The sequence below is a fragment of the Homo sapiens genome, chromosome 21 (assembly GCF_000001405.40).
Source record: "Homo sapiens chromosome 21, GRCh38.p14 Primary Assembly".
NCBI classification, from domain to species: domain Eukaryota; kingdom Metazoa; phylum Chordata; class Mammalia; order Primates; family Hominidae; genus Homo; species Homo sapiens.
In genome coordinates, this window is record NC_000021.9 from 45,152,395 (window position 1) to 45,177,855 (window position 25,461).

A 25,461-nucleotide genomic window follows, 5' to 3' on the forward strand; every position below is an offset into this window, starting at 1 on the left:
TGAAGTCATTGTGGTGTGTGGGCCCCTTCAGCCTAGTTCTGCCTAACTGCGGCATGATGAATGGGCCCGAGGCAGAGGAGGAGGCTCCCTCGTCGGTAGGGGCTGCTGTTGTCGCAGCTGCCGGCACACGGAAGTGAGTCGGTGTGCTGCTGCCCCGAGTGACTGAGGGACAGAATGAGGCTGGGGCCGGCCGGACTGGCATTGGCGTGTCTGCATGGCGTCGTCCACCACTGGGCCTTTGCACATGGGGACCTTTTTCAGCATCATGGGGCGTCGGTATAAAAGGAGGCGCAAGAAGCGCTCTGAGAGGAAAGGTAATTCATTTAGTTTTTATTCTTCAGTGTGAAGCATTTGTCTTTAATGCAATACAGAAGTGTTTTCTGGGATAGACGGCTTTGTGAATTAATCTTGCTGATGCCAGTTACTTCCTATTTTCCCTTTTTGAGTGCCTTTTTTGTTGTTGGCATTTTATAGAATTTTAGATAGGGGCACTTAAAAAGGAAGATTCAAAAACATGTCTGTAAACATGAATAGAAATCATTTAGCTTCAGAGTCTGGAGTATGTCTTTGGAAAGATATTTATAAAACTTTAAAGTTTGTAGCTTTGAGCTACAGAAAAGGTTTTTCTCCCAGAGACAGATGCTTATATGAGATTTCCTTTGCCGCACTCTTCATTAATGACTTTTCTACATTAAAACTGTTCTTCATGCTGCAGAAAGCAAGGCTGAGCAACCATTGTGAAAATATTTCCCCTTTAAAAGAATGGAGAGCAAATTCCTTACATTCTGCACTCCAGGTTAATACCAGTTTTTAATTCAACTTAATGTTTTAAGTCATTAAAATCTAGATTTTTTTTCTCAAAACCAGATTCAAAAGTTGTCCATGACTATACACATCACAAGCTACTGGTTTTTGGACCTAAATTGCTGCTTTAAAAGCTGTTGATGTTTTTTTTTTCTCTTTGTATAATATGAAATAATTAATAGAAAATGCCTTAGTGAAAAGATGTGTCTAGCCCGGAGAACAGCTGAACACAGGCGTGATCAGTGCCTCTGCCTCTGTGTCTTCTGGGCGCCCCCTTAGTGTCCCCCACCCGACAGGACTGGAGTACAGCGCTTCACCACCACAGGGCCCTTGGGACATGCTGTGGCAGGAGATGGCTGTTTCTTCAGGAAGTAAAATTAACCTCGGTTTTTTGGTGTGGCTTCCTAAGAAGAAGAACAGATGAATCTCAAAGTCAGCAATCTTGTAATAGTACCTTGTAATATAACAAAGGTGACAGCACCTAATGGAAGTCTGTGTCTGGGAGTGGGGAACCCCTGACCCTGGGCCCTCTGTGCACCGTGCTGCCAGGTGCTTGTGTCCAGGGCTGGGGATGCCACACCCTCGATGCTTTCCTGGACTGACGGGCGGTCTCAGGACAGCCAGTCTGTGCGGCCCCCTCTGCCCTCACCTCAAGAGGTCACAGCATTGGCCTGTTTTTGTTTCCTCAGTTAAGCTTTGGAAATTGAGATGTCACTAAGACAGGCAATAGGGAGTAAAACAAAGGCACAGGCAAAAACTAAAGGACATTTTTACCAAATACCCTCAATTTAGAATTACCACCACTTTTCCCATGGACACTCATCACTAATTATTTAAGTTGGGAAAAATATTGAGAAGTACAAGAATAATTCTGTCATCATTCTTTTGGAATTTACTGTGATTCAAGCTTAAAATGTCTTTTTCATGCATTCCATAATCTCATTCTGCAGTGGGAAAACCACTCTCAAATATGTTGCATTTTCAGACCAAGGTTATAAGAAATTGAGAGGGTTATAAGATGTAACAATGAGGCCCACATATTAAATGGCTTGTGTTCCTTGGTCATTCCTATGTGAGTAAGTTCATTGTGAGTGTTACTAAACAGTATCATGTTATGTGTTAGTTCTCGCTGTTGGTATTTTGTAATAAGCATTATCTTTGAAACTAATAAAAATACCTTTGAAATTATCGATATTATTAAGATTGGCCATCACATTTATACCAAACTGGCAAAGTTTTATAAGATGTAAAATAGTCTTTTATACTGTATATTTCTAAGGTACTGTAAATCATGTGTATTGCATGGTTTTTTCCCTAAGACTGATACAATGTACGCCTTTTAAAATGTAATTCTTTGATGAAAACAATGTAGTAGCAAGTTACGGGTTTTAGTTGGCTTCAGTGGCAATATAATTTCAGTGATTTTTTTCATCACTCCTGGATTATACTTGCAGTTACTGCCTTCCACAGGGCAAATAATTGACTGTTGACTGTGTGTGAGCCTCAGATGGGTTAGCTTAATCATCAGGAAAATAGGGCTAAAGAATAATGTACCATTTAAATACTGGCCAGAGTCCCCATCAAGCAGACACTGCCACCCTGGCAGATGCTGCCAGCACGAGACCTGGGAGAGGTCTGGGAGCCACAGGGCAGGATTCTGAGTAGCAGTTAGTGCCCATATATGGAGCGCTTCCTGCACCCAGCCAGTGCTCAGTGGCTGCTGCTGTAGCCTCATTCACTCACAGCACTGCTGCTAAGTTCATGACCAGTGGGAGGGGAGAGAGATGGGAACAAAGAGGCAGTCCTTCAGTCCCCACCCTCCTGCTGTCTGAATAGCATCCTGTATTTCCAGATGTATTTCTCACTGAGTGTTTTGTTTGTCCCCTATGTGATAACATCCTTATCTGTGCTTAGTCGTGTATGCACATGTGAAGACCACTGTCCTCTGGCAGCAGTTCTGAACTGTGTTTTAGTCTGAGGCTGGGCTCCCCCATGTTTCCAGGATAGAGGTGAACAGGGTGTGGGGACCTCTGTGGAGCTGGAGGTCCAAACGTAGAGAGGCCTGCTCCCCCTGAGTACTTCTGGAGGAGAAGCCCTGGAACTCCTGACCTTCACCCTTCACAGAGTGAGCAGAGCCAGTTGGCCAAGGGGAGGAAGCAGGCGGCTGTCGTACCAGCCTCCTTCTCTGGTGCCAGCCATGACTCTCACCTTACAAAGAGAGCAACCCTTTGTGAGATGCAGAGCATGGTAGCACCTGGAGGTATAGGACGGGATGGCATTTATCCACCCATCCATATACCAGTCCATCTACTCATTGTAGTCCATCCATCTGTCCGTCAACCTATCATCCATCTGTTCACTCATTTACCCATCTACCCACCCATCCATCATCCATCCACTCACCCATCCATCCACCCATCTACCCATGCATCCATCATCCATCTCTCCATGCATCCATCATCCATCTCTCCATCTAGTCATCCATCTATCTGCGCATCTACCCATCACCCATCTATTCATCCATCCACCCACCCACCCACCCATCATCACCTATCATCCATCATCCATTCATCCATCCATCCACCCACCCACCCACCCATCATCACCCATTACCCATTATCCATCATCCATCCATCCATCCACCCACCCACCCATCATCCATTCATCCAACCATTCATCCACCCACCCACCCTCATCACCCATTACCCATCATCCATCATCCACCCACCCACCCATCATCCCCCATCATCCATCATCCAGCCATCCACCCACCCACCCACCATCACCCATTACCCATCATCCATCATCCACTCACCCACCCACCATCACCCATCATCCACCCACCCAACCACCCACCATCACCCATCATCCATTCATCCATCCATCTACCCACCCACCCATCATCCATTCATCCATCCATCCATCCACCCATCATCACCTATCATCCATCATCCATTCATCCATCCATCCATCCACCTACCCATCATCACCCATCATCTGTCATCCATCCATCCATCCACCCACCCACCCATCATCACCCATCACCCATCATCTATCCAGCCATCCATCCACCCACCCATCATCACCCATCACCCATCATCCATCCATCCATCCACCCACCCATCATCACCCATCACCCATCATCCATCTATCCATCCACCCACCCATCATCACCCATCACCCATCATCCATCCATCCATCCATCCACCCACCCATCATCACCCATCATCCATCATCCATTCGTCCATCCATCCACCCACCCATCATCACCCATCATCCATCATCCATTCATCCATCCACCCACGCACCCACCCACCCACCCATCATCACCCATCACCCATCATCCATTCATCCATCCATCCACCCATGCACCCACTCATCATCATCCATCATCTGTCTTCCATCCATCCACCCACCCACTCACCCATCACCCATCAGCCATCATCTGTCATCCATTCATCCATCCACCCCCCCACGCACCCACTTCTCTACATTGTTCCGTTCATCCAACAAGTACTCATTACACCCTTCTCTGCATGCTGGCACCAGGGGTTTGAACATGCTTAGGGAAGATGGGGGTAATGGGATGGCAGTGGCAGGGGGCAGCCACAGCTTTCAGGCTTGAGGTTTGTTCTGGAATGGGCCACCTGAAATCCCACTAGGTGCATGAAGAGGATGGATTTATGTGATTTGTCACTGCTGCACTGTATGTGTAGTAGTGGGGAGGGATATTCTCCAGTATCTGGTGAGAAAGGAAGACACCATTCTCTAGCAGTGTCTGCCAGGAGAGGGGCCCAAGTAAGGAAAGTTGAACCCCCAGTGGACAGCAGCGTTATGGATAGAAGGCCCAGATCTCCTAGAACCCGTTGTAATGGCTATGTGTGTACCTTTCACTGCATCTGTGCTGATGGGCCTCGCAGCACAAGAAAGACTCTGCTGCCTGGGCAGGAGCTCCTCTCAGCTACAGGGTGCATTTCAAGCACAGGTGCATACACTCTAGGTTAACAGTTGAAATTCTAAAGTAAGCATGTAGAAGTAGATTTGTGAAATTGCACTTGAAATACCATGGAAATTGGATCCAAAGCAGATTGAACAGTGCCAATTCTTAGTGCAGTTATAAGTGTTAATATTGAAAATAAAGTTTACATCGTTGTCTTTTTTTTCCCTTTGATTCCAGAAAATTAACTACAATTTTCAAATAAGCAGGAACTTACTTAGGTTGTGTTAAGTAGAGCAAAGTGGACAGTCTTTCAAATGCATTGCTGCTGCGTTTGCACTGTGAAGGACGGAGCAACTTCACGAAGGCAGGGCCCTGTGAAGGTTTGTGCTCTCGTGTGCCGGCTCTGACCTGTGATTTTGTTGCTGGATGTCTCCTTCAGCAGTTCATGTGGCTTTCTAAAGCTTGCCATTGCTTAGGCATGCCTGACTGAGGCGGGAAACAAGCGTGTGGATCAGTGTGGCTCTGTATGTGTGAACATGTATGGACATATGTGCATAGGGTGGGGGTAACGAGGGAGAGGGACAAGAAGGGCCAGGGCTTGTGACCACATCAGAAGCAAGGGTGATGCTCTGTGGCACAGCTGGCCCTCGAAGTCACTCAGGGACCTAGGTTTCTTCCATCCTTAAGCTCTGTTCTCTAACAGAAGTCACCCTGGCAGTTGCTTCTAGTCCAGCAATAGAAAGGTGAGAAAGAATACAGAGAAGCACGCAGGAAGCTGTGTGAGTTGGCCCAGATGCAGTGGCACACACCACAAATTGCACAGCACCCCCACAGGAGGCGAGCCTGTGTCCTTGCCCATCACCTCTTTCCAGCTGGTGTCCAGACCTCGGGGTGATCACTGATTGTTGTTTCGTTGGTCTGGCTGTGGCTCTTCTTGGGCCAGCAGCCTGGGAGCCACACAGGGACAGGGTAACTGCGATAAAATACAATTATGCAGGAGAGGAGGCGGAAGGGCCCAGCCTGGCCCTGTCTGGCCAGCTTCCTGCACCCTGCACAGCAGGGAGCATCCTCATTCTCCAGACCCTGATTCTTCTCGGGTTGGGGCGGGAGGGGGGAACTCCCTTGTCCATTGTTCTCTCAGCCACTGGCCTCATCCTTTGGGGGTTCTTTCTGATCATCGCCTCCAGAGTCCCATCTGAAGAGGGTATCAGTGTAGAACACAGTGAGGCAGAATGTGGAAGCAAACGGGACCATCTGGAAGTTTTGCTCTAGGCCTTATAAAACACATAATTTGTTAGGTGTAAAATATATAGTATGTTGTAGTAGTGATAATAGGATGGAATAAATGCCTTAGATTTGCAAAATTGGGTCAGAGAGTTTAGGGATCTTTGGTCCTGTACCAGTGACATCATTTTGTGGCTCTTGGGGATTTGGGGAGGGACCTCCCCGAGGCCACTGTGCAGCAGCCTCATGCCCAGGGCTCACAGGTCCCATATGTGTTTCCTCCACCAAAGCACCCTGAGCTGTCCTACCTTCCTCACATCCCCACACCCCGCGGGTGTCCCTCTGCTTAGCAGCTATTTATTCTGCCTGTATTTGGGCCAACTGCACAGGCTGTCTGAGACCTGACAGTATGCTAGAATGTACAGGGCATACAATATTTTGTGTAATATCATGGAAAAGTGTGCCGTTCTTTCGGTTGACGGTGGTTGCAGATAAGACTGCAGAGACAGCTTGTGGTGGGTTGGAGTGTGACTCAGTCTCCCGTGGGTCTGCTCCCCTTCCAGACTGCATGTGGAATTCTGTATAGAGTAAGGCATATTCGTGTATGTGGGAGGGAGGCTTAGAATAAAATTTATTTTTTTTCTTATGGAAGCAGTACATGTTCATTGTAAGAATTCGGAAACATAGATACAAAATAAACTTTATGAAAAAGCAAAGGTGATCATCTGCATTAGTCTGTTTTCACACTGCTAATAAAGACTGAATAATTTATAAAGTAAGGTTTAATTGACTCACCGTTCCACATGACTGCAGAGGCCTCTCAATCATGACGGAAGATGAAGGAGGAACAAAGGGACGTCTTATATGGCAGCCAGCAAAGAGAGAAATGAGAACCAAGCGAAAGGGGAAACTCCTTTTAAAAAGTCAGATCTCATGAGACTTCTTCACTACCACGAGAACAGTATGGGGGAAACTGCACCTGTGATTCAATTATCTCCCACTGGGTCCCTCCCACACTCGTGGGAATTATGGGAGCTACAATTCAAGACGAGATTTGGGTGGGGACACAGCCAAACTATATCATCATCCTTGAAGCTAAATCTTTGAATGGGAGCAAAACCATAATAATTTTCTTCCAATTCGTAGTACTAGAATTAGATTTAGAAGTGTTTAAGGCTTTATATTTTTGTCTTACTATGACCAGGGGCTCAGTAATGCCTTACTTCTGCCTTGGAGGATGATGTGAGCATACAAGAGGGGTGGCCGCATCCCTCCAGCTTCATTCCTGGTGTCCAATGGGAGGCGAATAGGCCCCTTTGCACCTCTTAACCACCATAGTCCTCTCCCATTGCCAGCCTCTTCTGACTTTTGGGATTGTTTTACCCTCTGGACAGCAGTGTGAACAAGGTATGTCAGGCCAAGGGGGCTGCTCCCCATGGGAGGCCTGGCCGTGTTGGCTTCCAAGAGGCCAGATGGGTGCTGCTCACCATAGAAAGTGACCCTTTTCCCTGTTCCTGAGCCAACCTGTCACTTCCATGCGCTGTGTGTCACTTTGAAAACTATCTTTGCTTTCTGCAAAATGAAAGGAAACTTTCAAAAGTCAACGTATTAAAGCCTGTTTGCATTTATTCTTTTATGAATTTTGCTCACATTTTTTAATTGGGTGTTTGTCTAAAGACAATTATCGATCATAGTAGGCTGCTGGAAGGTTGACCACAGAAACCTGGTTCTCTTTCAGGGAGGTCACCATGTCTGCCTCCAGGCCCATCGGGTAGGGGCTGCCTTCTGTCAAGGCACATGCTCCAGGTCCCTTAGATGGAAGGAAAACACATGGTCTTTATCCAGTGGACTCAGGGTGCAGGTAACTGAAGGAATTAACCTCCATCATTTTCACAGATCCTCGTAGAGCTGGACCGAAGGAGGTGGGAGATCCCTGCCGGGAGCCGCTGCAGTGGGAGGGCTTACAGACGTTCGCATAGTCTCTTTCTGTTTGGTTGTTTTAACTCCCATTAAAAGGAGTGGCTTTCAGCCTTCTTGCTTACTGTCTTGTGATGTATGTGTGTTCACATGTTCCATGCACATTTGTAACGCTCACCATGCTCTCTGATTCAGCTTTGTTCCCTTAGAGTTGCCCCAGCACTGCTTTGCCATGATGATTGTGTTTTTTAAAATACTTCCAGTTGCTTACTTCTGTTTAGTTATCTCAGTGCTAAATATTGTTAATTAATTAAATATAAGCAGCATGTTCTAGATTTTATGTGTCTGGAATTCTTACTAAAAATCTTCCTGGATATGACTTCCAGTCATAACGTTATGGATTTTATTGTAAACAAGGTAGAATTTTATTTGCCTTTTAATCATTTCATTATGGTGAGTGTCCTCCTTACAGAGCGTGTACTGAATTTGGGTTTTACTCCTTTTTTGTTCATTTCCACAAGTTGAACTCTGTGTTATTATCCTATTTTCTGTTAGGGTCATTGTGTTGTTAAGTAATCGACTTACATAGAAGGTGTGCACCTAGAAGGTTAACAGAAAACAAGTTGAAACATGACTGAAAATATATTTCTGTAAGAATTACTGTAATTCTTCTGAGAGTATAAATAGCCAGGGTTTTAAAGATCTGCTTTATAGGATTTATACTGCAAATAACTTGGCAGGATTAATTGGCCTGCATTTGCTTGCTGTAGTCAGTACCATCTAGTGTTTTAGTCAATATCAGTTTTTGTAGTGTGGATGAGGCTGGTGATGGCAGCTGCAGCCTGTCTGGAGTTGCTGCTGCCGTGGTGTCAGCTGCAGCGGGGGAGGCTAGGGCTCTGTGCTCCGCAAGTTGGTGGGAACCGGGAACAGGTGGAAGCCCCACCCCCTTCCAAGTTGGAGGGGCAGGAGCCCTGCCATCCTGGGCACAGCTGCAGCCGTCCATTAGAAGCTGTGGACCCAGGCATCCCTGCACTCACCAGGGCCCAGGAAGCCCCCCTGCCCCGACAGGCTGAGAAGTGCCTGCTCCCACTGCTTGGTCTGTCCCCACTCCCAGCACCTGCTCCAGTTTCAGATCAAAGTTGTGGCCGAGCTGGGACACTGTCACAACCTGGCTGGGTGTGTGTTTGCTCAGGGCAGTGCTGACATGCCAGCACCCTGCTGCCTCGGCACCCCCAGACTTTGGGTGCTGACAAGCATGAGAGGGAGGCCAACGCGGGGCTGAGGGAAGCACAGCGCAGGCCTTGCAGCCGCCCCTCGGCAGGAACACTCTGGATGCCATGCACACTGTGGATGGCAGGATAATGGTGGCCGGAGGCAGACAAGCTCCTGGGAAGAAAGGGGAGGGTCCCTGGTGAAACTCCACCTTCAGCTTACAGAGGACTTAAGGCCTGGGGCCCAGGCTGTCAGTTCCACAGACCGGAGTGAGAACTTACGGTGCTTTTCCAGGGCTCACCCGTGACTGCCCATGCACCAATCAGCACACACTTTCCTCTGAAGCCCATAAAAACCCCCGGACTCAGCCAGACTTGGGCAGAAGACAGGATGACCTGCTTATGGAGAATAGCTGCCCACTGTGGGTCTCTCTGAGCTGTTCTGTCACTCAATGAAGCACCTCTTCACATTGCTCACCTTCCACTTGTCCACGCACCTCATTCTTCCTGGACATGGGAGAAGAACTCAGGACCTGCTGAATGGCAGGTCTGAAAGAGCTGTAACACAAACAGGGCTGAAACACACCCATTGTTTGCCACATTGCAGGCAATGAGGAGAGGAGGAGAGAAGGAGAGAAGAGCTGCAGCCCTTCAAGGAGCCCAGACCTAGGAGCTCCCTGAGCCAGGGCAGTGACGCCCCCTTTGGGGCCCTGCGGTTCCTGGTGTTTCCAAGCTTCTGGGCACTACCGTATTCCCTGGTTTCAGCCATGGAAGCTGTGTGTGGTATGCCTGGTTCAGCTGCAGCCTTGCAGGGAGCCAGTGTCCATGCCAGTGCCTAGGTCTGCCCGTCTCGCCTGCCTGGCTGTACACAATGGCTGGACCCCACGCCCACTCACTCACACACCCCTTGCCACTCCACACCTGGCTCCCCCTTGGCAGGCATGGGATCCAGGCTGGAAGTGTGAGCCGAGCGCAGCCTGCCAGGCTGTGTGGGCAGAATGAGCCCAGCAGGCCCAAGCAAAACTCGGGTAAAGGCGCCACCAGTGATGGAGGTTTCTGGCCAGAAAAATGATACCCTGAGGATCCTATGACACTGGGTTCTGATTTACCAAAAAGAGCCACACCTGACTAGGGACATGGGGAAGCAGGGGCATGCAGATCTGTCCATGAAAGCCCCACTCCTTGCTTTAGGGACAGTAGCTGATGCCCATGAGCGCTCCTTCATGCAGGTGCTGTGCTAGCACTGAATCACCAGGGCTTGCTCCGCCTATAGAACCACAACCAAGAAGATGGGAGAGACTCTCAGCTCACAGCACCAGACACTTCAGACCCAGGTTGGAGAGCTCAAAGGCCTGAAACAGGCTCCAAGAAGATGTGAGTCTGAATTCACAGCACCAGACACTTCAGACCCAGATGTGAATCTTAACTCACAGCACCAGACACTTCAGACCCAGGTCGGAGAGCTCGAGGGCCTGAAACAGGCTCAGTCCCAGACTCTCACCCAGTGCTCCCTTGCCCACTCGGCCAACTGTCGTTTTGCAGACGGCAGGCTGGTCAGAGGCTTCCCATCCAGAGTGACCCATGAGGTGTTTCTGTTCCTTAGAAGAGGATGCTAATAGCTGCCTGGGAAAACAGTTGTTAATGAGGATTGTACTAAGTAGATCCCTTTCACATCAATAGTAACCAGTTTAAAGCCTTTTCATTTACAAATATTTCTGATTTAAGGACTTAGAGGTCAGTTCGTATACAGTCAAGTTTAGATGTGTTTTGGAGAAAGTGGATACAGCCCACAAGGTCCCAAAAGGCAACAGGGCACAGGTAACATTCCCTGGCTGTGATTAGTTGGTTGAGGACATCACAATTGGAAGCATCCACGTTCTTCCTCACAGGAAGCACTTGGCTGAGAGCTGTGGACACTGAGGATGAGGCTTGAGTCTGTCCTAGCAGAGCTCAGGGCCTGGTGGGAAAAGCAGGGTGGTCAGGCCAGCGGGGGAGTGAGCGGGGAGGGGCAACCAGCTTTGCACAAGGAGCCAGGAATCTCCCCCCCACCTCCACCCTGCACCAGGGGCGCTGACTCTGGGCCCTCAAGGCCCCCCACTGGGGACGCTGACTCTGGGCCCTCAAGGCCAGTGGAATCCACAGCTCCATCCACAGCAGCGAGCCTTGTGCAGTTTCACCACAATAGTAGCACATGTGTGACCTCCTGGGGGCTGCTGGGGCCTATGGGAGTCGGGTGTGGACGGTGTGCTCCCTGGGCCTGCTCGGGGATGCTGAGTACCAGGCAGCAGTGAGTGGGGTGACTGAAGGGAAACTCGAGGGACATCTGGCCCTCTGTGCTCTGCCACGCTTGTCCCCATGCTTGCTGTGTTTGGTTTGGGGCCATTGGCCCTGCTCCTGTAGACTCAGAGTAGCTGTCTGTCCCACGTTGCCATAGCTGAGTTCACTCGGCACAGTCACCTTGGGCTGTGTGCTTTTTTTGCTGATCCCTTAACTGGTGAGAACTAGTGTACATTTGAACACTTGCCATCCAGTTGACACCTTTCAATAAAAATTGCAGATTAATAATAAATGATAGAAGTTCATGCTTTTTCCTTCTGGTGAAGACCAACACATGGCCCTGTTTTAAAGAGCAGAAAGCTGCAGAGCCACTGCCACGTCGCAGGCACCATCGAGGATGTGTAGGCGTCTCAGGGATGTTACGGCACTCAGAGGATTGGTTTATTTTTAGGAAACAACTGTAGCAGCCAAGTGAAGACTCTGGACAGGGGAGGACAGCTGTTGAATGTGTCCACAGGGCCTGAAGTAGGCCACGAAAGCCCCAAGTTTGCCCCTGCGTTGGCACAAGTACTGGGGCTGCCAAGGAAAAGGCGGGGGTGGAGGAACTCAGTGTACAGCATGCCTGTGGGGGCAGGCATGGCGCCCGGGGTGGAGGGGTGGAGGAGACCGAGCCTGCCCCAGCCATGTGGGCCTCGCAGCCCACTGGGAGAGGCAGGCCACAAACAGGGAGACAAATTGTGGATTGCACTGTGCGTGGAGGGAGAGGGAGCGGGGCGGTGGGGTGGGTTGGTGCCGTGTGAGCTGGGACTTGAGCAGTAAGGTGGGGTCTGATGAAGCCTTGCGCGAGGACATGGCAGGGAGGGAACAGGGAAGCACCCCAGGAAGTTGGAGAGGCTCTGGTGGGCATAGCGAAGGGCTGACGATGAGCACATGGGCATGTGTTAGAGCACGTTTTTTATTTATAAGGACATAACCCTGGCTGCTGCGAGGAGAGGGGCTCTCAGGGTCAAGAGAAGGCAGAGAGGCTCCTGCACAAGCTGAGTGGTAACAGCAGCGCAGAAGCAGACAGGCTGATGTGTTTAGCCCAACTTTGGGAGAAGAGCTGGTGACATGGGGTGTGGGGTGAGAGGGGAGAGAGAACCAGGTAGTCTCCAGGTGTCTGGCCTGATGGCTGCAGCGAGGTGACAGGATTTACACATGTGCATTGGTACACCTGCTGCCCGGGATGGCCAGGTGAACAAGGAGTTGGCCTTTGTCAAAGCTGAAAACACCTTACTTGAGGCCCCCTGGAGCGCCCAGGCCTCACCAGGCCCACCCCCGCCCAGCCACCCTAGAGTTGCCTTGCTGGGCCAGTCTACTACTGTCTGTGCGACTGGCATGTGGTTCTCCCGTGATGCATCCCTTTTAGTGAGGAAGGAACTAGAGCCACAGTTTGATGAAGTTGCTGACTGGACCACTGAGGTGTTAGTGCCCTGTGCAAGGTGCCCTAACTGACACCTCTGCATGTTTCTTTCTGTCATTTGTCCTTGCTAGAATTTCCTCTTCTGTTTCAGTAGATTCCTATTCTCATCAATATTTCCCACTTAATATGATGAATATTGTACATTATTATTCTTATTTTAATTATCTCCTTTTGCATTGCACTAGAAAAAATGTGTTTGCTGAAAATTAGGCACAAATCTTGCTTGCTCTGTGTACAAGATCTATAAAGATTCACTTAGCAGCTTGCAGGGACGGTTTCCTAGAAGGTAAAATATTTCACTGAAAATATTATCAATTGAATATTTTGGAACACTTCAGTGATATTGTTTGGTTTAGATAATACTGAAAGCAAAATATAAATTATGAGGTGAAGTGTATCTCTAAACATGCATGATTCGCTTGTTGAGTTTCAGATTGTTTTCGTTCAAATGATGTAAGAGGTTTATACTTCAGTTGCTTTTGTTAAATAAGCAAATCATCTTTCAATTTTTTTGCTACAAAGTTAATCTAGCTTTGGAATGCTGCTTGATGTATAGTAAAGAATGAACACGAATAATCTCCACTTTAATACCGTTTCTTTTTTTTTTTTTAGTTTGCAGTTCAAAGCTATTAAATATGGAACCCATAGCAGTCATAAAGAATATGTAAAAGTTTTCTCAAAGCTATCCATTTTTGAGGGGAAAATGGATTTAATCCAGTAATATATGTTAGTAATTTTAATCAAGTTCACCAGTTGTCTTAAACAGTTTTTAATCTATAAACTTTTAGTGGACTCCTAAAGATGACATTTTTTACCAGCACAATAGAAACTATTCAAGTTCTGATGCATCTTTAATGTAAATAAGTCATGTTTTTAATATTTTATTCCAGGATATGTTTTTTCATTAAGGGAAGGGGAGAAAAAGGGTAGGTATGCTCATTGTCCAAAGTTGATAAGAACATTATATTTATATATATTGTTTATACTTGTGGTTGCAATGTATCTATAAAAAGGTATAAAGAATAATATAACAATCATTTACCTACCCCCAGTACAAAACGTATAACATTGTCAATTTGACCATGTTAGCTGAAATCAAAAGCGAGCTCATGAAGAAATGATCAGGACACGGTGAGGGAACGGCCTTGTTTGATCCAGCTTGATCTTCTTCCATGTCGGCACCCAGTGTCTGGTCCTGTTTATTAAAAATAAAAAGCATGTTCATATGTCCCTGATTTAAAATGCCACCTTTACCAAATATTCTGTGTCTGGATGTGTTGTGTCTGATTCTGGGTTTTTCTTCCATCACATTGACCCTCTTTGTCCGTGAGCCACGCTGTGTTGCGTTAGGCACTGAGGCTCTTTATTTCTAATAGGAAGGACTAAGCCACCTGCTCCTTTGGTTCAGAGTTTTCCTGAGTATTTGAGTCTGTTTATCCTTTTCACGTAAATGTTAGAATCAGCTTGTCTAGTTCCATTAAAACAAGTTGGATTTGTACCTGGAACCAAGTGAAACTGAAGTCTCAGGTCTTCTGCAGTCAAGTTCAATGTTCTTCCACACTCACCACCTCCCAGCTCTGTCTTCTTACTGCATTAGGAGGCATTCTGAGAAATGAAGAGGTTGTTTTGAATATTGCTATCAAATAAGTCTTTTTTTTTTTAATTGACCATTCTTGGAATTTTGTTCCATAGGGGATATTTGATAGGGTTTTAATTCTTATTTGTTTGTAGTTCAGGTCATAAGAGGTTCTTTTAAAAAGGGAAGAAAAAATAGCTCTGTGAAATGTGCTAAAGTGCTTGCATGTGCTGTTTTGCTTTGTTTTATAACCTTTGGTACAAGAGTTGGCATTCGTCAAAACTGAAAACGTTGGCTTCTGCTCTGCAAGAGATTTGTAGCTCCCATTCTTAATGTGGGCGGTACCTGCAGGTACTCACCTGCCACCACACTCGGCATGACTATTTTCTACTGCGAGACATTTTCCATGTCCTTTTAAAAGAATTTTAATATGTAAGGGCAGGAAAACAAAGTGAACTGTATGAATTAGGTGAACTACATGAGCTGGGCTCACTCCTGTGCCTCTGCACTTTTATTGTTGTTGTAAAGTTTGTTTTTCCTGGTCCCAGAAATCTGAGAGAAGTCAGCCTTCTCAGGCAAACCAATTATTGATTAATTATGTATAAGAATTAAATTAGCCATTTGTGTGTCTTCTGCCTATTATTAATAAACTTTTTATTTTGAAGGCTGGGTGCGGTGACTCATGCCTGTAATCCCAGCACTTTGGAGGTCAAGGCAGGCAGATCACCTGAGGTCAGGAGTTCAAGACCAGCCTGGCCAACATGGTGAAACCCCATCTCTACTAAAAATACAAAAATTAGCCAGGCATGGTGGCACATCCCTGTAATCCCAGCTACTCGGGAGGCTGAGGCAGGCAGCTTGAACCTGGGAGGTAGAGGTTGCAGTGAGCCGAGATAGCGCCACTGCACTCCAGCCTGGGTGAGCGAGATTCTCAAAAATAAAAAATAAAAAATACTTTTTATTTTGAGATAATATAGATTCACATGTAGTTGTAAGAAGTAATACTTATATGAACGTAAGCCTTCATTTCTCTGGGATAAATGCCCAGGAGTACAATTGCTGAGTCATGTGGTAGTTGCATATTTTATTTTTAAGAAACTGCCAAACTACTTTCTAGAGTAGCTATCCCATTTTACATTTCTGCCAGCAGTCTATGAGAGATCCCTTTTCTCCACAGCCTCATTTCACCTGGGGCTGTCACTATCTTTAAAGCAACACTATGTTGAATAGCCCTTCTCGGAGGTGTGCAGCGGAGTTATCTCACGGTAGTTCTCAGCTGCATTTCCCTAGTGACTCGTGATCCTGAGCATCTTTTCATGAGTTTATTTTCCATCTGTAGATCCTCTTCGTGTCCTTTGCCCATTTTCTAATTGGACTATTTGTATATTTTACTGTTGAGCTTTGAGAATTTCTTATATATTCTATTTGTTGGATATATATTTTTCAAATATTTTCTCCCAGTCTGTAGCTTGTTTTTTCATCTTTTTAACAGGGACGTTTGCAGAGAAAAAGTTTTTAACTTCCAGTTTATCAGTTGTTTCTTTTGTGGATTGTGCTTTTGGTGTGAAGTCTAAAAACTCTTTGCCTAGCCCTAGATCCTGAGGATTTTCTCCTGTAACTTTCTAAAAGTTTTATAGTTTTATGTTTTGCATGTAAGCCCATAATCTATTTTGAGTTAAGTTTTGAATAAGGTAGGAGACCTGAATTGAGGTTCATTTTTTTGGAACTCTAGTTGCCCCAATAAGGCTGTGCCTCTTCACGAAATTGCTTTTGCACCTTTGTCCAAAATCAGTTGGACATATTTGTGTGGTGTATTCGGGGTTCTCTGTGCTATCCTCTTGTGATCTGCTCGTCTGCCCCTTGCCAACACTGTACCGTACCGATGACTGTAGCTTTGTAATAAATGCTGAGATCAGCTAGACTGATTGCTCCCACTTTATTTTTTTTTTATGGTGGTTACATTAAAGTCTTTCTAAGAGAATTCTAACACCTGTGTCATCTCCGTGTTGGCATCTGTTCATTGTCTTTTTTCATTTAGTTTGATATCTTCTGTTTCTCGATGTGACAAGTGATTTTTTATTGGAACCTGATTATATGATATTATGAGACTCTAAATCTTACTGAAGCCTTCTGTTTTAGCTGACTTTCTCATACACCACGGTGTCAGAGGAAGCGGGGATGCTGTCTCATTACTGCTGGATGGGGGATAAGTCCAAGTTCCCCACTGGGGCTCCCGGATAGCTCCCTGTTGTGAGAGGGCCTCATCACTGCTCCATCTGGAGCCTTCACTGGCAGCACCGGCTAGCGTCGTTTCTACCAGGTGGAAAGAGAGCCCAGCTTCCCCACATAGTCTCTCATGACTCTGCACTGTGGCGTGGGAAGGGAAGGGGTTGTTAGAGCCTGGTGGAAATGAAGATTGTGGCTTGTCACTCAGCCTTGTCTGACACCACCCAACAAGGGGACTCTGGGGTTGTCCTTACAGCCTGGCACGGGTGGGGCGTGGTTGAGGTTTTTTGTTTGGTGTTTGGCTGGAATAAAGCAATTCTTGTCTAAGAAGTTTTCTGTCTTGCTGGGCTACCTCTTTCCTGGTCCTTTGGCCAGAGAGAGCAGCTTTTGTTGCAGCTTTTTGTGTGTTTTGTTTCTGCCAATGCCTGCTGATGTTTCTGGCTTCCTCAGCTCTATGTTGAGAAAATGAAGCAAAAGGAAAATGCAGGGTCGCTTCTCAGGTCCTGAGGCCCCCTGGCTTGTCAGCTTTCTCTACATCTCTCAGTCTTTTTATGTGTGTTTTATGTATAATATCCAGGATTTTTAGTTGTATTTAATGGGAGGAAAAAGGAGAAGAACTCTGTCTTCCCACTGAGGAAGTTCCTTTGCCTATTTAAAACCAGTTTCAGCCAATAAGAACAGAGCTATTTGGACAGGCTTATTCGTTGTTCCTCCAGTTTATAGTTTGGGCTTCTGAGAAGCGCCTTGCCATCACTTTGCCTGCATAACCTCAGTGCCCTCACACAAGCCACCTGTTTTCCCGTCTTCGTGATATGCTCAGCCAGACCCCTTGTCTGAAGCTCAGTTTGACGAGCATGTCCTCATTTTTTGGCCTGATCCCTCCAGCCAGGAGGCTCCTGGGAGCACCCACAGCCTACTGAGGGCATCTGCCCTGACTGCAGGGGTCTTGCCCTCTGTGCCTACATCTCACCTCCCATTCTAGACCTTAACCCAATTACTTTTTATCGGTCCTTCCATAATGGAAATATTAAAACATATACAAATATACAATTGTATCAAGAACTCTGCATGCCCGTCAGCCACATCAGTAATTACCAACCAGGGCCCATTTGTTGGTTTTGTCTACACTCATCTATGTTTTTCTCACCACACTGAATTATTTTGAAGTAAATCCTAGATATTGTCCTTTCATTTGTAAATACTTCAGTATATGTCACTAAAAGAGAACTGCCATTTCTACACCTAAAATAATTTATCATAATTCCTTAATATAATCAGCTGTTCAGGCAGTATTTACATTTAAGTTTCTCAGAATCTGATTTAGGTTCTTGTATCTAGCACAAGTGCTTTGCACGTAATAGATTCTCAGAAAATATATCTTGAAATAGTTAATGACTATAAAATAATAATGCTTTTAAAACTATCTGGAAAACTTTGTTGAATAAAGGATTCTAAAGAGAAACTCATTTAACTTTTAGCAACACATTTGCCTGAAATATAGTGAGATTGAAAGTTATTAACATGATTTCATGAAAAACTATATATATAAAATATATATTTTTAGATATATGATATTTGATATAGATATATAAGATATATGCATGTTTTAGTACATTTTAGTCACCATTTTCTAAGAGCAATGAATTTGCCTTTTAGTGATTTATAAGTTTTATTTGTACACAAAGTAACGTGTGATTATAAAATTTGCAAATCTTCTTTTTCCTCAATTGCAATTTGATGATATTATTTATTATAGAACATGTATTAATACAGTCTGACAAAGTATAACTAAAATATTTAAGAAGAGGAAACTCTTAAATTTGTTAGTAACTAGAAATTGTAATACCTGTTCTTTGAGGATTTCCTGTGGTTTCTCCTGCCAACAAAATAATACTTATATGTAACTAAGAAATTAGATTGAATTTTAGCAGTCTTGTGCACTTTAGTTTTGTCTGCATAAGGAGCTATTCAAGGTGAGAGAGAAGTAGCTAAGTGAGAAGCTGTAGGTTCTGGTTCTGCTGTGTGGCTTTAGTTTACAGCTGGAAGCCAAAAGTCTACCCAGAGTAAAGATAGATGGCAAGTATGTGAGCGCCCTTCTGAGGTCTGTCGCCATCTGTCATGGCGTGTTGTGTCCTTAGTCCATCCTGCAGCAGGCGTCTTTCCAGAGTGCAAATGCCAGTGCCTTTGTCCCTAGTTCAGCGCTCTTCATGGCCCTCCATTGCCTGGAATCAAACCCACCCTCCTCAGAGTGGTGTGAGGTCCCTGGGCACTGGCCCTGAACCTCCCTTGCTGGGACCTGGTCCCACCCTCATCATCCCTCCATGTGGGAGAATCCACGCGAGACGTCCTTTGCTGTGCTGGAATCCACGCGAGAAGTCTTTTGCTGGACTGGAATGTGCCAAGGAGGAGTATTTTGTACCAGATGGCAGATCTGACTTCTCTAACAAGACCTAGTTCTTATTTTATGATTTTTTTCCTTTAATTTGTAATAATGTTGTAATTATTTCCTTAGAGTAGACTTACTTCATATTACTCCTGTCATAGGCACACTAAATGCTATTTTCTTACTGTCTTTCAGACAGAAACAGTCTCCGCCAGTCAAGAAACCCTCAAAAGTATTTTGCCATGGATATAGAAGATGAAGAAAACATGAGTAAGATCTAGGCCTATCACGTAGTATCAGATAGCTAATTTTATGTTAACATTTTGGTGTTTTTGCAAATGTATTTCATGAGACCAGTGTGGGGATTGTGTTTTTTCCCGTAACATCTTCTACTGACAGTGGCATGTTTTTAATTTTTGGTGTGTTCTCTGCAACAGGTGTCAGAATTTGCTGCAGACGTTTTTCCTTCCTCGTTATCGTCGTGGGGCATCACTGTGCCCCGTGGAATGGGCTTCTGGGTATATCTCATGAAGCCCCACTGTTTCATGTGGAGTCCTGTCACGGCATGCCTCTCAGAATAATGCTCCGAGTATTCACACATACAAATCGAAGATAACGTCTGAGATTGATTTAAATACCCAGGCCTTTGCAATAATAGGACAGAAATATTTCCCTTCAAAATGCAGGTTCTCGCTGCATTTTGAAGGAAGGGGATTCACACGTGTCTGTTGATCTAAAGTTCGCAAAGGTGCTAATGAGAGCTGGGACTGGTGTGGGCCTCCTCCTTCCGTGCTGTTCTCTCTGGTGCCGGGGTGGTGGAAGGCCGCTGGGGTACGTTGGTGTTTCGGTGAAGGTACTTATCTCTTCTAGTTCATCTTCAGTCCCAGAAAACAGGTTTAGATGCTTCCACGGAAGTTGGGAGAGTTTAGTAGAGAAATTACAACAAAGGCATCATTGCTCTAACTAATATAAATATCTGTATTTACCTTCTTACTTGTCTGAAGGAATAACATGCAGCTGTCAATGATGAGTGACATGTCACTGGGAGTGATTATTGAGCATTAGAACTTAGCACTTTCCCTTTGACTTTACGCACAACCGATGATCTGGGGTCTTGGAGTCACTCTTGCGTACCATGTAGAACCCAAACCATGACCCAGTGAAGCATTTCTGCATGGTATTGATTTCTGCATGGTATTGATTTCTGCGTGGTATTGCTGCCCCATGGGTGTGCTGTGGAGGCGGCTGGGCCTCTGCTCTATGGACTGTGTGCTAAGTGTTGGCTTTGGTTGAAGTCAGCCATCTGGGGTGTGAGGGTGAGACCACCTCCTGCAGTGCTACCCAGGAACCACGGGACCAGCGTGCTCACCTCACTTCCGCTGTTGTGTGCGCAGCCCGTGCCTGCCTGCTGGTGATTGTTTTTTTCAGGTTTTTATCCTCATCAATCCTGCTCTTGAGATCTTTTAAAAACCCAGCTTCATGTTTTTACTGGGCAGTTCTACTCACTGTTTCCAAGTTTGTGACAAGTTTTAAGAGAGAGGTTACGTCCATACTCCTCATTTGAGAAAATGTGACCTGTGCTTGGCCCGTGCAGTAGCCCACCAACGGAGCATGTGCAGGGGTCCTCAGGGCCTCTGTGTCAGGACTGTGGCCTACAGCCTACAGCTGCAGTCACCTCGCATAGACAGAGGCTTTGTGATCGTGTAGGTTCTGGAACTATCCCCAAACTGATCCTGTGATCACTTGACATGATAAAGAATCCTCCCACATTTTTCTGTGAAGAGAAGCCGATGTTGTAGTGCTAAAACGTGGACATTCTGGTCCTGTATTTGTATCATTTTGAAAGCAATGCAAAGCCCTGTCATGATCAGTATTTACATTTATGAAGTGTAGTAGCATGATACAGAAAGAGAAGGCATCTGTTGAAGAAAAGCTGTGAAAGTGGCATCTTTCTCTAGTTTTAGTATTTTCCTTTATGATAGTAGCATTTTCAGTGACAGTGAGAGTAGTATTTCAGTGTGCCCCTGAGGTGAATAAGAATTTAGAATGTATGGAATCTGTATCACAGAAAGTGTATTCTTCTCAAGATTATTTGTCAATCCAATAGTAATTATTTTTATTTCTGAAAGGAAAGCATTTGGTTATTTCAGAGGTTATAAATATTTGGTTAAATGCATGTCCAAATACATTTATAATGATTTGATTTTTGATATTGATAATTGTTTAGCAACAAAGTCAAAATGTAAGCAGTAATCTAGTATGTCATGTTCTTGCTCAGTTTATTAATCTCTGAATTCCATCTTGGCTCTATTTTTTTTAACCTTTTGTTCCCTTTGAGCACCGAAAGGAGTAACCTATCGAGCTTTTGCTGGAGGATGTTATAAATGAAAATTTAGTGTCCATTCCATCAGCTTTGTCAACTGGGAGAAGTGGTGTGTGTGTGAGGATTATTTTGGAGAAATAATGTCTGTAGAGAAAGTTTTAAATCTCTTAGCCTCTACCACAGTGTGGCATCAGTTTTCCCATGGATTGTGTCTAAACCAGGTTTATGCTCTGCTGTCTTGGCCGAATGATGACAGCCCTGGAATTAGAGATCTTTAACCTCAAAGATTGGCAGCCAAGGGCGAGGACTTGGTCCCTTTAAACATTCCCATGGATGAAGCTGATGAATATTTTCACAACTTTTCAGTTTGCTTAACGTAATGAGAATCTACCATTTTACACATGTAGTAGAAATAGACCCTAAAGCCACCATATGGGGCACTCGTAAATTGGTTTACAATTTTAGTAATATTTTGGTTACTTTAAAAAATACAGATTTTTGAAATCTAGTGGTAGATGTCTTTAACTTTCATTCACATTACAACCTTGCAGGGCACTGTAGCCCTCACCCTTGGGCTCCATGTGACAGCTGCCTAGCCATGATGGAAAGGAATTATTTCTTCTTCTCCTTTTTAAAAAGCTTGATGAACACTTTATACTCCTCTTTTTAAAATAAAAAATTAGGGCTGGGCACGGTGGCTCACACCTGTAATCCCAGCACTTTGGGAGGCCAAGGCAGGCGGATCACCTGAGGTCAGGAGTTCCAGACCAGCCTGACCAATGTGATGAAACCCCGTCTCTACTAAAAATACAAAAATTAGCCGGGCATGGTAGCCCACGCCTGTAGTCCCAGCTACTCGGGAGGCTGAGGCAGGAGAATCACTTGAACCCGGGAGGTGGAGGTTGCAGTGAGCCGAGATCGCGCCACTGCACCCCAGTCTCAAAAATACATACATACATACATACATACATACATACATACATACATACATGTATAAATCCATAAATAAATAAAATTTAAAAATTATGTTTATTTTGCCATGTAATTTTACAATTCTAAAATTGTCTGTATTAATTCAAAATCTGAAATACCTTTAAAAGTTAGGATAAACAAATTATTCTGGAAATTCATCAAATAATTGTTTTAAAAAAGACAAAATCACCAGAAAGTGTATTTATGAAGTTAGGAAGTTGTAACCTGCCTACAGCTTCAGTTTTGTGTCTTGTTCTTACACACTTTTCCTATCATGGAACGATATTAAGGATTCAGACTTAGTCAGCCCCCATATATAATATTCTCATTTTTAAATAGATACTAGAAATAAAACCATACCCTCCTAAACACAACAACTAAAAAGCCATAATACTTTACACAATTACATAAGCAGCTTTTAAAGATTGGTTCATAAACTAAATCAAATAATTGCATTTATTGATTGAATATTTTAAACCTGAAAAACTAATTATCTTGTGAATGCATGTTTTTAAATAGTTTTCTCTTCTGAGAGACGCTGCAATTTAAAACCCTTAGATAGCATGAGGGTAAACAACAGTGAAAGGAAGATGCTAAAATAAATATATATTTATCCATATATTGATATTAAATTGTCATTTCATTAGACTTATTAATGTAAGGTCTTTCTGGATTAATTTATCATCCCACATTTTGATAAGGTTGAAAAAGTCTAGGTACTTCAGAATATTCTCAGAAGAAAAAAAATTATTTAAAGATTTTACTTTTTAAAGCAAAAGCAGTTGGTGACACTAAATAGAAATGGTATTAGTCACTAAGCAAAGTGTCAGATTACTTGTTTAGTTGAGGCTGATAGTTCTTTAACTAAATGTATAACTCTTCATGTATACATCAAGGAATAAAATTTATAAGCACACATCACTTAACCAGTTACAAAGAGAGCTAAAGGAATCTATAAATTTTGCATTTACAAGATCCTGCAACGAAGGCATTGTAAGTTACTCTTTCTGGGCACCACAGGTTCCAGCAGCACTGATGTGAAGGAAAACCGCAATCTGGACAACGTGTCCCCCAAGGATGGCAGCACACCTGGGCCTGGCGAGGGCTCTCAGCTCTCCAATGGGGGTGGTGGTGGCCCCGGCAGAAAGCGGCCCCTGGAGGAGGGCAGCAATGGCCACTCCAAGTACCGCCTGAAGAAAAGGAGGAAAACACCAGGGCCCGTCCTCCCCAAGAACGCCCTGATGCAGCTGAATGAGATCAAGCCTGGTTTGCAGTACACACTCCTGTCCCAGACTGGGCCCGTGCACGCGCCTTTGTTTGTCATGTCTGTGGAGGTGAATGGCCAGGTTTTTGAGGGCTCTGGTCCCACAAAGAAAAAGGCAAAACTCCATGCTGCTGAGAAGGCCTTGAGGTCTTTCGTTCAGTTTCCTAATGCCTCTGAGGCCCACCTGGCCATGGGGAGGACCCTGTCTGTCAACACGGACTTCACATCTGACCAGGCCGACTTCCCTGACACGCTCTTCAATGGTTTTGAAACTCCTGACAAGGCGGAGCCTCCCTTTTACGTGGGCTCCAATGGGGATGACTCCTTCAGTTCCAGCGGGGACCTCAGCTTGTCTGCTTCCCCGGTGCCTGCCAGCCTAGCCCAGCCTCCTCTCCCTGTCTTACCACCATTCCCACCCCCGAGTGGGAAGAATCCCGTGATGATCTTGAACGAACTGCGCCCAGGACTCAAGTATGACTTCCTCTCCGAGAGCGGGGAGAGCCATGCCAAGAGCTTCGTCATGTCTGTGGTCGTGGATGGTCAGTTCTTTGAAGGCTCGGGGAGAAACAAGAAGCTTGCCAAGGCCCGGGCTGCGCAGTCTGCCCTGGCCGCCATTTTTAACTTGCACTTGGATCAGACGCCATCTCGCCAGCCTATTCCCAGTGAGGGTCTTCAGCTGCATTTACCGCAGGTGAGGAACTATGCTGCTGCTTTAAAACACGGGGTCATTGCTCTTGGTAATGCTTCTAGACAGCATTTTAGTTTCAGGATTACTGTTGACTTTCCACCTTGACATCACTCTGTCCCCACCAGGAGGAGTTACTGGTAAGTCTGGCTGCTTGATTTCCATGGCCATGTGGCCACTGAGAAGCCGTCTGCATCCTAGTGCATGCTGGGTCTGTCGCAATGCAAGGCAGGGACACCTGAGACCCCGTCCACCAGAGCAGTGTTTACAACACTATCCATAACTCCCTTCCCGTTAGGCAACCCCCCCCATGACCCTCATCCCACAGCAAGCCTTTAGCAGGAGAGACGGAAGAAGAGCCCAGTCTTTGAAACCTTGCCCCCAGTTCAGCACCATTTTCCTTCAAAGGTCTCATCCAAGAATCTCACATTCAAGATAAGTGACACCAGCCCGTCAGCAGCTGAAAACCCAAGTCTGGGTCAAGATGGCAGCCTCTGGGCTCCCACATGACTGGCTGGTGGCTGTTTGCTGTTCCTAAGCCGAGGAGCCCATCAAAGCAGCGAATGAGCCAGCACAGCAGTGAGCACCTATCAGAGCGCAGGGAGGGAGGGGCCTCCAACAACTGTTCTAGGGCCTGCCAGTTGCCTGGGAGTCTCTACTTTGAATTTCCTACATGGGCTGTATGAGGACTTCCCCGCATGCCCAGGCTGGAGGTGGACAGCCACCCTTCCATTTGACCTCCCCAGCGCAGTGAAATCAGGATGAAGGAAGGGGAAGTTCCAGGGTGGGCTTAGATTGGCTTACGTGAAAGAGAAAAAGTAAAGGAGAAAATCACCTTTAGTTCTCATCTCTAAATCCTAAAACTCTCTGATTATGTATTCCTTCTTTTCTTGGAAATCCAAAGTTCTTCTGGTCTATTGCAAAAGTTATTTTTTTGACCCTCTATTCATTTATTACTTTGTATCAGAGTCTTCTTCACTTTGAAGATAACATGTATACTACCCTTGACCACAAGACTTGAAGGTGGCTTGTGTTCCCCTGGAAGAATCCAAGTGTCTTATAGTTTCTTTTTTGCTGTTGGCTACAATTAGAACAACCTCTGTGCAGTTGTAGTCTGAGATGACCAGGAGTTCTGTTTTAAAGGAAGGAAATGTATTTTATTTTGCCTAAAGGAATCAAATGCAACATCAGTATAAA

General features: G+C 45.4%; 1 protein-coding gene across 28 annotated transcripts in view, besides 1 other annotated feature; it reads left to right on the forward strand.

Moving 5' to 3' along the window:
• ADARB1 (adenosine deaminase RNA specific B1) overlaps positions 1-25,461 on the forward strand; it is a 151,986-nt gene that overhangs the window by 77,817 nt on the left and 48,708 nt on the right. For 16 of the 28 annotated variants that reach the window (NR_027673.1, NR_073200.2, NR_027674.2 and 13 more), the window contains 2 exons: positions 19,216-19,290; positions 23,336-24,270. Coding sequence is in view for 18 of the 28 variants with exons in the window: in XM_047440662.1 (XP_047296618.1) it covers positions 19,216-19,290; positions 23,336-24,270 (1,010 nt within the window). In the remaining 10 variants the exon portion in view is untranslated. Of the gene's footprint in view, positions 1-135; positions 315-7,706; positions 7,830-19,215; positions 19,291-23,335; positions 24,271-25,461 lie in introns of those variants that run through there. The other 12 variants (XR_001754787.3, XR_007067777.1, XR_007067778.1 and 9 more) reach the window with 3 other exon arrangements.
• Positions 8,440-9,085: an enhancer, noted in NCBI's record as "H3K27ac-H3K4me1 hESC enhancer chr21:46580749-46581394 (GRCh37/hg19 assembly coordinates)". NCBI's record gives its function as "activates a minimal SCP1, AML or CMV promoter by ChIP-STARR-seq in naive H9 embryonic stem cells {active_cell/tissue: H9 hESC(naive)}" and the evidence as "EXISTENCE:reporter gene assay evidence [ECO:0000049][PMID:30033119]".